The sequence below is a fragment of the Homo sapiens genome, chromosome 16 (assembly GCF_000001405.40).
Source record: "Homo sapiens chromosome 16, GRCh38.p14 Primary Assembly".
NCBI classification, from domain to species: domain Eukaryota; kingdom Metazoa; phylum Chordata; class Mammalia; order Primates; family Hominidae; genus Homo; species Homo sapiens.
This window is the reverse complement of record NC_000016.10, coordinates 20623235-20635521: the sequence shown is the minus strand read 5'-3', so window position 1 is coordinate 20635521 and position 12287 is coordinate 20623235. Positions and strand designations below refer to the sequence as shown.

The 12287-nt window shown below is 39.6% G+C and overlaps 1 protein-coding gene across 17 annotated transcripts in view; it reads left to right on the top strand.

Annotated features, from left to right (window-relative positions):
* ACSM1 (acyl-CoA synthetase medium chain family member 1) overlaps window positions 1–12287 on the top strand; it is a 74446-nt gene extending 62159 nt beyond the window's left edge. For 8 of the 17 annotated variants that reach the window (NM_001318890.3, XM_006721017.4, XM_006721016.4 and 5 more), the window contains 4 exons: window positions 8206–8333; window positions 10000–10099; window positions 11307–11426; window positions 11950–12287. In NM_001318890.3, the coding sequence (NP_001305819.1) occupies window positions 8206–8333; window positions 10000–10099; window positions 11307–11426; window positions 11950–12036 (435 nt within the window). In that variant the 3' untranslated portion in view covers window positions 12037–12287. Of the gene's footprint in view, window positions 1–8205; window positions 8334–8431; window positions 8800–9999; window positions 10100–11306; window positions 11427–11949 lie in introns of those variants that run through there. The other 9 variants (XR_007064850.1, XM_047433583.1, XM_047433581.1 and 6 more) reach the window with 5 other exon arrangements.

The following is a 12287-nucleotide window of genomic DNA, read 5'->3' as shown; positions in this document are numbered from 1 at the left end:
GACCACAGATATATATCTGCATATTACAATCATTTCAGGAGATTTTTTAAAATAGTAGTACTTGGATGCAACCAGAGATTCTGATTGAGCTGAAATGGGGATAATCCAAAGAAATATATTTAAAGAAAAAAACAAGGTCTTGCTCTGTCACCGAGCTGGAGTGCAGGAGCGTGATTAAAGTTCACTGTATCCTGGACCTCCTGAGCTCAAGTGATATTCCCAACTCAGCCTCCCAAGGAGCTGGGACCACGGGCAGGTACCACCATGCCCAGCTAATTTTTTGATTTTTTGTAGAGATAAGGTCTCACTATGTTGCCCAGACTACTTTCAAACTCCTGGGCACAAGTAACCCCCCTGCCTCAGCCTCCCAAAGTGCTGTGATTACAGATGTGAGCTATTGCACCCAGCTAATTTTTTTTTGATTGAGCATGACATATTTTATTTTCCAAAGAACTCCTAACATATACCCACACCTACGTATCCATGAAATGTCAGTATTCCTCCATTGGGACTTCTTTGGGTTTTTTTCCCTCCTTATTTATGTAAAAGAATTACAGAATTACCATGAGACCCAGCAATTCTACTTCTAAGGCTACTTACTACCAAGAAGTGGCAGCAGGAACTTGAACAGATACTTTATTTTTTACTTTATATTTTATTTATATAAAATGTAACATAAAATTACTCTTTTCACCATTTTTGAGTGTACAATTCAGTAGTATCAAATAAAGTAACAATGTTGTACAGCCATCACGATTACCCATCTTCAGAAAATGTTTACCATCCCAAACAGAAATTCTACTAATAAGCAACATCTCACTGCCCCAGTCTCCAGCACATGATAATCTCTAATCTGCTTTTTAAAATCTATGAATTTGCCTATTTTAGGTTCCTCATATAAGTGAAAATATACAACATTTGCCCTTTTGCGTTTGGCTTATTTCACTTAGCATAACGTTTTCAAGGTTCATCTATGTCTTAGCATGTAACAAAATGTCATTCCTCTGTAAGTCTGAATAAAATTCCACTGTATGTATACAACACATTTTGTGTACTCAGTTGTCTCTTAATGGACATTTTGGTTATTTCCACATTTTGCTTATTGAGAATGTTGCTTCTATGACCACTGTTGTTTAAGTATCTGTTCAAGTTCCTGCTTCCATTTCTTGGGAGTATAGACCTAGATGTGGAATTGCTGGGTTCCATGGTAATTCTATGTTGAACTTTTTGAAATAAATTACCAAACCACTTTCACAATGGCTGCACCATTTTATATACCCACCAGAATATTTTTGATCCATTTTGAGTTAACTTTTGTATGTGTTGTAAGGTAACTTCATTATTTTGCAATTGGGCATTGAAGTTTCCCAGCACTATTTGTTGACGACTGACCTTTCTCCATGGAATGGTTTTGGCACCTATACTTAAATCAATTGACAATATATGGGAGAGTTTCTTCCAGGACTCTCTATTCTATTGCAATGATCTGTCTGTCTTTATGCCAATACCACACTGTTTCTATTACTGTAGTTTTGTAGTAAGTTTTGAGGTCAGGAAGTGTGAGTTTTCCAACTTTATTCTCCTTTTTCAAAAATTTTTATTTCCTTTTATTTTTGAGGCCAGATTGCAAGACTGGCTAATTTTTGTATTTTTAGTAGAGACAGGGTTTCTCCATATTGCCCAGGTTTGTTTTGAACTCCTGGCCTCCAGCGATCCACCTGCCTTAGGCTTCCCAAAGTGCTGGGATTATGGATGTGAGCTACCGCGCCTGGCCTTTATTCACCTTTTTAAAGATTGTTTTGGCAGTTTGGGGTCCTTTGAGATTCTATATGCATTTTAGGATAGGTATTTCTAGTTCTGCAACAACAACAAAAAACCATTGGGATTTTGACAGGAATTGTGTTGCCTCTGTAGATAGCTTTGGGCAGTATTGTCATCTTAATATTAAGTCTCCAATAAATGAGTATCATATGTCTTTTCATTTACTTATCTCTTCTTTAATTTCTGTAGTAACGTTTTGTAGTTTTCAGTGTACAAGTCTTTTGCCTCCCTGATTAAATTTATTATGAGTACTACTGTCTTGTATTCTTTTTGATGCTATTGTAAATAGAATTGCTTTCTTAATTTCCTCTTTGGATTTTTAATTTTTAGTGCACAGAAGTGCAATTGAGTTTTTGTGTGTGTATGGATTCTGTTTTTTACAAGTTTACTGAATTTATGTATTAGCTTTAACATTTTTTTTGAGTGTGTAAAATTCTTCGGGTTTTCTATATATGGTCATGCCATCTGCATGCAGAGATAATTTTACTTCATCTTTCCAATTCAGATGCCTCTTATTTTTCTTTCTTGCCTGATTGATTTGGCTAGAGCTTCCGGGACTATGTAGAATAGAAGTGGTGAAAGCAGGCATCCTTGTGTTTTTGGTCTTAGGAGAAAATCTTTCCAACTTTCACCATTGAGAATAATATTAGCTGTTGGTTTTTTATATGTGGCCTCATCATGTTGAGGAAGTTTCCTAGTTTATTTAGTGTTTTTACCATGAAAGGGTATTGAGTTTTGTCAAGTGCTTTCTCTGCCTCAACTGAGAGAAAACCTTGTGGTTATTTTCTTTTCATCCTATTAATGTGGTTTATTATATTTGTTGACTTTTGTATGTTGAAACAGGAATAAATCCCACTTGGTCATGATGTATAATTCTTTTAAAGTGTTTCTGGATTTGGTTTGCTAGTGTTTTGCTGAGATTTTTGCATCAATATTCATAAGAGTTATTGGTCTGTAGTTTTCTTCTCTTGCAGTGTTTGTCTGGCTTTGGTGTCAGGGTAATGCTGGCCTCATAGATTGACTTATAAAATTTTTCCTTTTCTTTAATTTTGTAAAAAGAGTTGGAAAAGGATTGGTCTTAATTCTTCTTTAAATATTTGTCAGAACTCATCAGTGAAGCCATCTGGCCTAGGCCTTTTCTCTTTTGGAAGGTGTTGATAACTAATTTTACCTCCTTATGAGTTACAGATCTATTCAGAGTTCTATTTCTTTGTGACTCCTGTTTTTGGTAGATTGTGTGTTTCCAGTAGTTTTTCCATTTTATCTAGGTAATCAAACCTTTTAGCATACAATTGTTCATAGTATTCTCTTATAATTCTTTTCATTTCTGTAAAATGTTAGTAATTTAAATTTTCACTTTTTTATTAATCAATCTAGCTGAAGACTTGTCATCTCTTCAAAAGAAATAACTTTTGATTAAGTTTTCTTTGTTGTTTTTCTATTTGCCATTTTATTTATATGAACTCTAATCTTTATTTCCTGCTTCTGCTATGCTTGGGTTTAGTTTGCTCTTCTTATTCTGGTTCCCTAAAGTGTAAGGTTTTCGGCTTGAGATCTTTTTTAACGTATGTGCTAAAGACTGAATGTTTGTGTGTCCCCCAGATTCATATGTTGAAATCCTAACCCCCAATGCAATATTTGGAGATGATTATATCGTGAGCATGGGGTCCTCATGAATGGTGTTAGTGCCCTTTTAATTTTTTTATTTTAGTAGTTTTGGGGGTACAGGTGGTTGTTGGCTACATGGATAAGTTCTTTAGTGGTGATTTCTGAAATTTTAGTGCATCCATCACCTGAACAGTGTGGTCTTTTAACCCTTACCCCCTGCCAACTTTGCCCTCTAGTCCCCAAAGTCCATTATATCATTCTTTGCCTTTGTGCCTTCATAGCTTAGCTCCCACTTAGAAGTGAGAACATACGCTATTTGGTTTTCCATTTCTGAGTTACTTCACTTAGAATAATGGCCTCCAGCTCCTTCCAAGTTGCCACGAAAGACATGATTTCACAGCTTTTTATGGCTTAATAGCATCCCATGGTGTATATATACCACATTTTCTGTATCCACTCATTGGTTGATGGGCACTTTGGTTGGTTCCATATCTTTGCAATTGCAAATTGTGCTATAAACACGCATGTGCATATGTCTTTTTCATATAATGACTTCTTTTTATTTGGGTAGATACGCAGTAGTGGGATTGCTGGATCGAATGGTAGTTCTACTTTTAGTTCTTGAAGGAATCTCTATACTGTTTTCCATAGCAGCTGTACTAATTTACATTCCCACCAGCAGTGTAAAAGTGTTCCCACAACCATGCCAAAATCTATTGTTTTCTGATTTTTTTAACAATGACAATTTTTGCAGGAGTAAGGTAATATCTCATTGTGGTTTTAATTTGCATTTCCTTGATGATTAGTGATATTAGTGCCCTTTAAAAAGCAACTCCAGTAGGGTTCTCCAGAAGAGTCCCATTCTCCATGTGAGGCCCCATCAAGAAGACAGCCATCTATGAAGCCTCACCAGACACCAAATTTGTTGGTGACTTGATCTTGCATTCCCAGTCTCCAGAGCTCTAAGAGATAATATCTATTGTTTATAACCCACCCAGTTTATGGCATTTTGTTACAGCAGCCTGAATGGGCTAAGACAGTATGTGTGTAAATTACCTTTTTAGCACTGTGTTTGCTGCAATCTATAAGTTTTAATATGCTGTGTTTTTTATTTCATTTGTCTCAAGATAATTTCTAAATTTCCTCGTGACTTCTTCTTTGATTCATTGGTTAGTTAAGAGTATGTTGTTTAATTTTGCAAAGATTGGGAAAATTTGTGATTTTTTAAAAGTTTTCCTTCTGTTAATTCCTTTCATGTGACTTGATAAGATGCTTTGTATAATTTCTGTCTTTTAAAGTTAATTAATACTTCTCTTCTGGCCTAATATATGGTCCATCCTTGAGAATGTTCCATGTGCACTTGAGAAAAATGTGTGTTCTTCTGCCGTTGGATGGAGTTTCCTGTATATGTCTGCTAGATCCAGTTAATTTGTGGTGGTGTTCGAGTCCTCCATTTTCTTATTGATCTTCTCTCTGGTTTTTCTACTCGTTATTGAAAGTGGTATATTAAATTCTCCAACTATTGCTGTAGAACTGTACAGTTCTTCCTTAAATTCTGACAATGTTTGCTTCATGTATTTTGGGGCTCTGAGGTTTATTGCTTATATGTTTATGATTATTATATCTTCTTGGTGAATTGACCCTTCTATTAATAGACAATATCATTTTTTATCTTTTGCAATTATTTTTAACTTAAACTTTATTTTGACCGGGCATCGTGGCTCACGCCTGTAATCCCAGCAGTTTGGGAGGCCGAGGCAGGTGGATCACTTGAGGTCAGGAGTTTGAGACCAGCCTGATAAACATGGAGAAACCCCATCTCTACTAAAAATAAAAAAGATTAGCCGGGCACGGTGGTATGCGCCTGTAATCCCAGCTACTGGAGGCGGAGGTTGTGGTGAGCTGAGATCGTGCCATTGCACTCCAGCCTGGGCAACAAGAGCGAAACTCTGACTCAAAAAAAAAAAAAAACAAGTTTTTTCTGTCGGATATTAGTATAACAACCCACAACCCAAGCTCTCTTTTGGTTACAATTCACAGGGAATATATTTTTATCCATCCTTTAACTTTCAACATATTTGTGTCTTTTTTTTTTTTTTTTTGAGTTGGAGTCTCCCTCTGTTTCCAGGCTGCAGTGCAGTGGTGCGATTTCAGCTCACTGCAATATCTGACTTCCTGGTTCAAGTGATTCTCTTGCCTCAGCCTCCCCAGTAGCTGGGATTACAGGCACACACCACCACACCCAGCTAATTTTTGTATTTTTAGCAGAGACGGGGTTTCACCATGTTGGCCAGGATGGTCTCCATCTCCTGACCTCATGATCCACCCGCCTCAGCCTCCAAAAATGCTGGGATTACAGTTGTGAGCCACCACGCCCAGTGGAATTCGTGTCTTTAAATCTAAAATGAATCTCTTGTAGATAGTGTATATTTGGATCGTGTTTTATTATCCACTTAGCCAATTCCTTCCTTTGGATTGGAAAGCTTACTCCACCTACATTTAAAGTAATTACTGATAAGGAAGGACTTCTACCATTTTGCTATTTGTCTTCTGTGTGGCTTAATATTTTCTGGCCCTCATTTCCTTTATAACTGCCTTCTTTTACGTTTAGTTTCCTTTTTGTAGTGACACATTTTTTCCCTTCTGATTTTCTTTTGTTTATATTCTACAGATATTTTCTTTATGATTACTATATTACATACAACATCCTAAGGTTGTAACAATCTAATTTGAATTAATACCTACTTAACTTCAATTGTATAAAAAAAAACTGTACTCCTGTATGGTTCCATCTTCCATTTATGTTGTTGATGTCATCTTGTACCTCTCAACTCAGTCCATAAAGGCACTCACATTGATCTAATATCATGAGTGGAAAACAGTATTACTTGCCATAAACAGAAGGCATTTATAACCATAACTATAGGCTTAAAAAAAACAATTTTCTCATAGTCTCCCTAAATCCTATTCTCATTGGAAGCTCTGATCCTGAAGCATGTCTTCCTCTTGAGACTTCCAGAGAGTTCAAAGCATATCAGCACTAAACTAAGAATCAACTTGATATACTCAGAACAATCAGAAGTGAATCCAAAAAGGGATGTAATTTGATGTTTTTAAAATGTTTTTTTCGGGTAGCTCTTAAAACCATTTCATGTTCCACAAGAGCTATTGCTTAGGGGTCAAGTGAATCGGTCATGAAGCAAGAATTAAATTCAAATATCAACCCTCTCAGTGAGCAGCTGAGTGACTCTGAGCAAGCAAATGTGCCTCCCTCAAGCTTAGGTTTTTTTCTTATTTAAAATGGGCGACAAAAAAAGTGCCAACTTCACACAAAAACATGTATGCAAATGTACATAGCAGCTTTACTCTAAATAGTCAAAACCTGAAGACAACAATCCAGATGGCTTTCAACAGGTAAATGGTTAAACAAAAACTCAGCTACATCCATAACATGGAATACTGTTCAGCAACAAAAAGGATCAAACCGTTTGTGCATGCAACTTGGATGAATCTCTGGGGGATTATGCTGAGAAAAAAAAAAACAGTCCCAAACAGTTATATGCTGTATGATTCTATTTATATAACATTCTTGAAACAGCAAAATTATAAAAATAGAGAACAAATTAGTTGTTAGCAAGGGGTCAGGGAAGGTGAGAGGAGAGGAAGAGGAAATGAGAGGGAGGTGGGTGTGGTTATAAAAGAGCACCATCAGAGATCTTCCTGATGAGGTGGGGAATGCACAAACCTACATATGTGATAAAACTGCATACAACTAAATACACAGACACACAAGTGAAATGGGACATCTGAAGACTGGTGGATTGTATCAAGGTCAGTATTCTGCCTAAGATACTGATCATATGGTTTTGCAAGATGGTACCACTGTGGAAAACTAGTGAAGAGTACAGGGCATCGATCCACATTATTTTTTATAACTACATGCCATCCACATTTGTCTTAAAATGAAAAGTTAACTTAAAAACATACTAGACTCATAGGCTTTCTGTGAGGATGAAATGAGATAGTATTTAGGGAAGAAAATTCCCTCAGCAAATGTTTATTGACCCCTCTCATCTGTCCAGGCTCTATGTGAATGCTGAGCTTATAGCAGTAAGCAAGGTTCACACCATAATGGAAATTTCATTCTAGTGTAGTGTCACACAAAATGAATATATATATATATATATATATATATATATATATATATATATATATATATATATGTATACATACAGAGAGAGAGAGAGAGAGAGAGAGAGAGAGAGAGATGAAGTCTCACTCTGTTGCCCAAGCTGGATTGCAGTGGCGCGATCTTGGCTCACTGCAACCTCCACCTCCCAGGTTCAAGCGATTCTCCTGCCTCAGCCTCCCCAGTAGCTGGGATTACAGGCATGCACCACCATGCCCAGCTAATTTTTGTATTTTTAGTAGAGATGGGGTTTCACTATGTTGGGCAGGCTGGCCTTGAACTCCTGACCTCATGATCCACCCACCTCAGCCTCCCAAAGTGTTGGGATTACAGGCGTGAGCCACCGCACGTGGCAGAATTGATATTTTTAAACATTGTCATTGAAATTGGTTTAATCACAACCACTCATAGAGCAGTCGCATGCATCATGCGCTACATGTAATGAAAATAGACTCAGAAATGGCAAAACTTGCCCAGGTACCGAGTAGAAACAGAGGCAGAATTCAAACCCAGATTGGAACCCAAGGTTGTGGCTCATCACCTCTAAATTCACTGCCTTCAACAAAGGAGCTCTCTTCTTTTTGCAGGGTGACCCAGAGAAGACAGCTAAAGTGGAATGTGGGGACTTCTACAACACTGGGGACAGAGGTAAGATGGATGAAGAGGGCTACATTTGTTTCCTGGGGAGGAGTGATGACATCATTAATGCCTCTGGGTAGGTGTGGCTGATGCTGGGCTGGCTGTTGTTGCCGTCACATGCCTCACGGAATTTTGCTTACCTAGACATTTTTTCACGCATTGGTGAAATTTCAGCCTAAATCTGAATAGAGCCGTGTCTATGGTGCCCTGATTCCAGGCTTCAGTATACCTCCCGAACCTTCTCTGCACGCAGAAGAATCAAGCAAAATGAAATTCAAGAGGGTCTGGAAGAGGAGCCATAATAAGACACTGTGCAATTTACAGTGGGGTGGGGGGAGTGGAATTGAGAAGGGAGACTCTGTCTTGGTCTCCATAGGTTCAGGGAGCCTATTTCATGTTTGTGCCCCTCTAATGCAGCACCAAATGTCACAGGACAAACATAGTAATAATAATAGCTAACCTTTAGCTATTGTTTATTTTTATTATTATGAATATATTTGTTATACATCTATGAGCATAATAAATCTATTATTATAAAATTATTTATTAGTATAAATATATTATTTACTGTAACTATTTAGCTAACCTGGAGTACTTACTATGTGAAAACACTGTCCTTAATGCTTTATATAACCCACCTCTCAAAGCTGGATGGGAGATGTGATTATTATCCCTATTTTACTAACGAGGAAAGTGGGTCACTGACCGGCAAGGAAATTTGCCTAAAGATTCAAAGATAGCACAGGATGCAATCCAGATTTGAACTGAGGTAGTCTGGCTCTGAGTCCCTGTCCCTACCCCTACATGATTTTTAAAAAGGCGCATTACACTACAGTAACAATTTCCCTTGGATATTTTAGAGAAATTGATGGCATTTTTATTTTTTTATTTTATTTTTTATTTTATTTTATTTTATTTTATTTTTCTGAGACAGAGTCTCCCACTGTCACCCAGGCTGGAGTGCAGTGGCCTGATCTTGGTTCACTGCAAGCTCTGCTTCCTGGCTTCAAGTGAGCATGTCCAGCTAATTTTTATACTTTTAGTAGAGATGGGGTTTCACCATCTTGGCCAGCCTGGTCTTGAACTCCTGACCTCCATTGATCCCCCTGTTTCAGCCTCCCACAGTGCTAAAATTACAGGTGTGAGCCACCATGCCCAGCCTGGATGGGATTTTATTTTAAATTTCTAAAACATGATGTACTGGAAATTTGCACAAAGAGTAGATTTTATGTTCTTACCACAAAAGAAAAAAAAGGCAATTATGTGAGACGATGGATATGCTAGTGTGCTTGAGTGTTTTAATCGCGTTACTATGTATATGTACATCAAAACATCATGTTGTAAGCCTTAAGTATATATAATAAAAGCCGAAAATCCTGCTGATACAATGGGAAATAGTATGCAGAATTTGCATGAATGTTTAAGACCAAGTTTGAGGCTTCCAAGAGATTTCGTGTTGGGGGAAGCTGCTTGGGCCAAGCTCTGAGGAGACAAAACATTAGCCGTCCTCCATCAGTACAGGCAGTGAGGCAAGAAGCCGGGAGCACCGCAGTCTTGTATTTCTCAGCCTATAATGTCCAGGTCTTTACACTTTGGGCCCATGACACAGACAAGTCAGGGGTCCCTGGCTTCCTATGACCTCCACCCTCTGTGCCAAAGGAAGCTGTGACTCCAAAGCAGGAGATCTGGGGACTTGGTTCACCCCAGCCCTGGCATCTGCCTCAGAACCCTTCATCCTCCAGGTATCGCATCGGGCCTGCAGAGGTTGAAAGCGCTTTGGTGGAGCACCCAGCGGTGGCGGAGTCAGCCGTGGTGGGCAGCCCAGACCCGATTCGAGGGGAGGTGAGGAGAACACAGAGATCATCATGTCTGTGCGTGGGCACTAGGAAAGCAGGTGCAGGGGAAACATCCAGGCTTTACCTGTGCAGCCTTGGTGGAAGGGCATAGTGTGCATGTGCGTTTACACGGTATGGCACCAGGGGACAGTGTGGACTCTCTGTGGCTCTGAATAAAAGGATGCTAGATACTATGTAATGAGCACTTATATATGCCAAATCACTTAACTCTCACACAATGTAGTAATCTAAGAACACTTATGCTTTTTATAGATGAGGAAAGAGAAGCAGGAGGAGGTTAAGTAACCTCTCCACATCACCCAGCTAGAGTAAGGGGTGGAGGCAGAATGGCATCTCAGCAATGTGGCTCCCGAACATACATGCATTTGTATATTGAAAAGTGTTATTAGGCCGGGCACGGTGGCTCATGCCTGTAATTCCAATGTTTTGGGAGGCTGAGGTGGACCGATCACCTGAGGTCAGGAGTTCAAGACCAGGCTGGCCAACATGGTGAAACCCCACCTCTACTAAAAATACAAAAAAAATTAGCCAGGTGTGGTGGGGGCAGGTGGGTGGAATGGGGGGTGGGCGCCTGTAGTCCCAGCTACTTGAGAGGCTGAGGCAGGAGAATCGCTTGAACCTGGGAGGCTGAGGTTGCAGTGAGCCAAGATCACACCACTGCACGCCAGTCTGGGCGACAAGAATGAAACTCCATCTGAAAAAAAAAAGTCTTTATTAATCACCTTCTATATGTGAGACCTTGTGCAATAAAACTTGGATAACATTGCTAATCTAAAAATAATAAATTGCCAGTAATTATGGAATGCCCATTGGGTTTCTGGCACTGAATTACATATATAATAACAGTAAAAATGATGATGAAAATATTGATGACGGGAGTAATAATAAAAGTAAACTAGCTGGATGTTTTATATGTATTATCTCATGGAAGCTTTAAAGAAACCAAATGAAGAATGGAAGCTTTATTGTCCCCATTTCACAGAAAAGAAAACTGAGGTTAAGGAGAGGTCAAATAACTTTTCAAGGCATGGAGTGGGAATTGGAAACACAGGGATTTACACCTGGTCCTCTCCTTTTCCAAAACACTGTAGGGTTCAGTGTCACCTTGTTTTACCACTCATTCAATAAACATTGACTTTTTAAGCTATGGAGTAGGTTGGCACTCACTGTGAGCCCATGACTTCATTCTGCAGGTGGTGAAGGCCTTTATTGTCCTGACCCCACAGTTCCTGTCCCATGACAAGGATCAGCTGACCAAGGAACTGCAGCAGCATGTCAAGTCAGTGACAGCCCCATACAAGTACCCAAGGAAGGTGAGTGAGGGCAGATGGAAGGGATCTGGTGGCCCTGAAGCGTTCCCTGCTAGGACGGGCTAGGTATCACTGGAGGTAACAAACAGCCCCAAACAATGGAGGTTTACAACACTGAAGGCTCTTTTTCTGCTCATGCCTCATGTCCTCCATGGCTCTCCTTGGCCCTGCCCTCCACATCTCCTCATTCTGCCACCAGAATAAAGGAGCAGCCTCCATATGGGACCTGTCAGCTGCTCTAAGAGATGAAGGAGAGGGTGGTCAGTCTCAATGGCTCCCAACTCTTTTGCCTCAAGGTTACATGCTTCACTTCCACTCACATCTCCTGGGTCAAAGCAAATCCCATGGGTACATCCACCTTCTAGGGGCCAGGGGGAGAACCTGAAATACTTGGGGACTCCATTAAGGCCACCATATGGTGTCAGCCTGCATGGGAGACTGTGGAGGGGCAGAGGAGGAGAGTGGAGAATTGTTAGGAAATGGCAGCAGGACTCAATCACTGTGGATTTGCTTTATCCTCAACCAGGTGGAGTTTGTCTCAGAGCTGCCAAAAACCATCACTGGCAAGATTGAACGGAAGGAACTTCGGAAAAAGGAGACTGGTCAGATGTAATCGGCAGTGAACTCAGAACGCACTGCACACCTAAGGCAAATCCCTGGCCACTTTAGTCTCCCCACTATGGTGAGGACGAGGGTGGGGCATTGAGAGTGTTGATTTGGGAAAGTATCAGGAGTGCCATGATTCCAATGTTTTCCTTCTTTTAAATTAAATTCAGTTGCTCTGCTTCCTCCAAGTCCTCTGTATCTTTAGAATTTCCCAGGTGAGCACTCATAACGCAAGTAATAAAATACTGATATCAACAA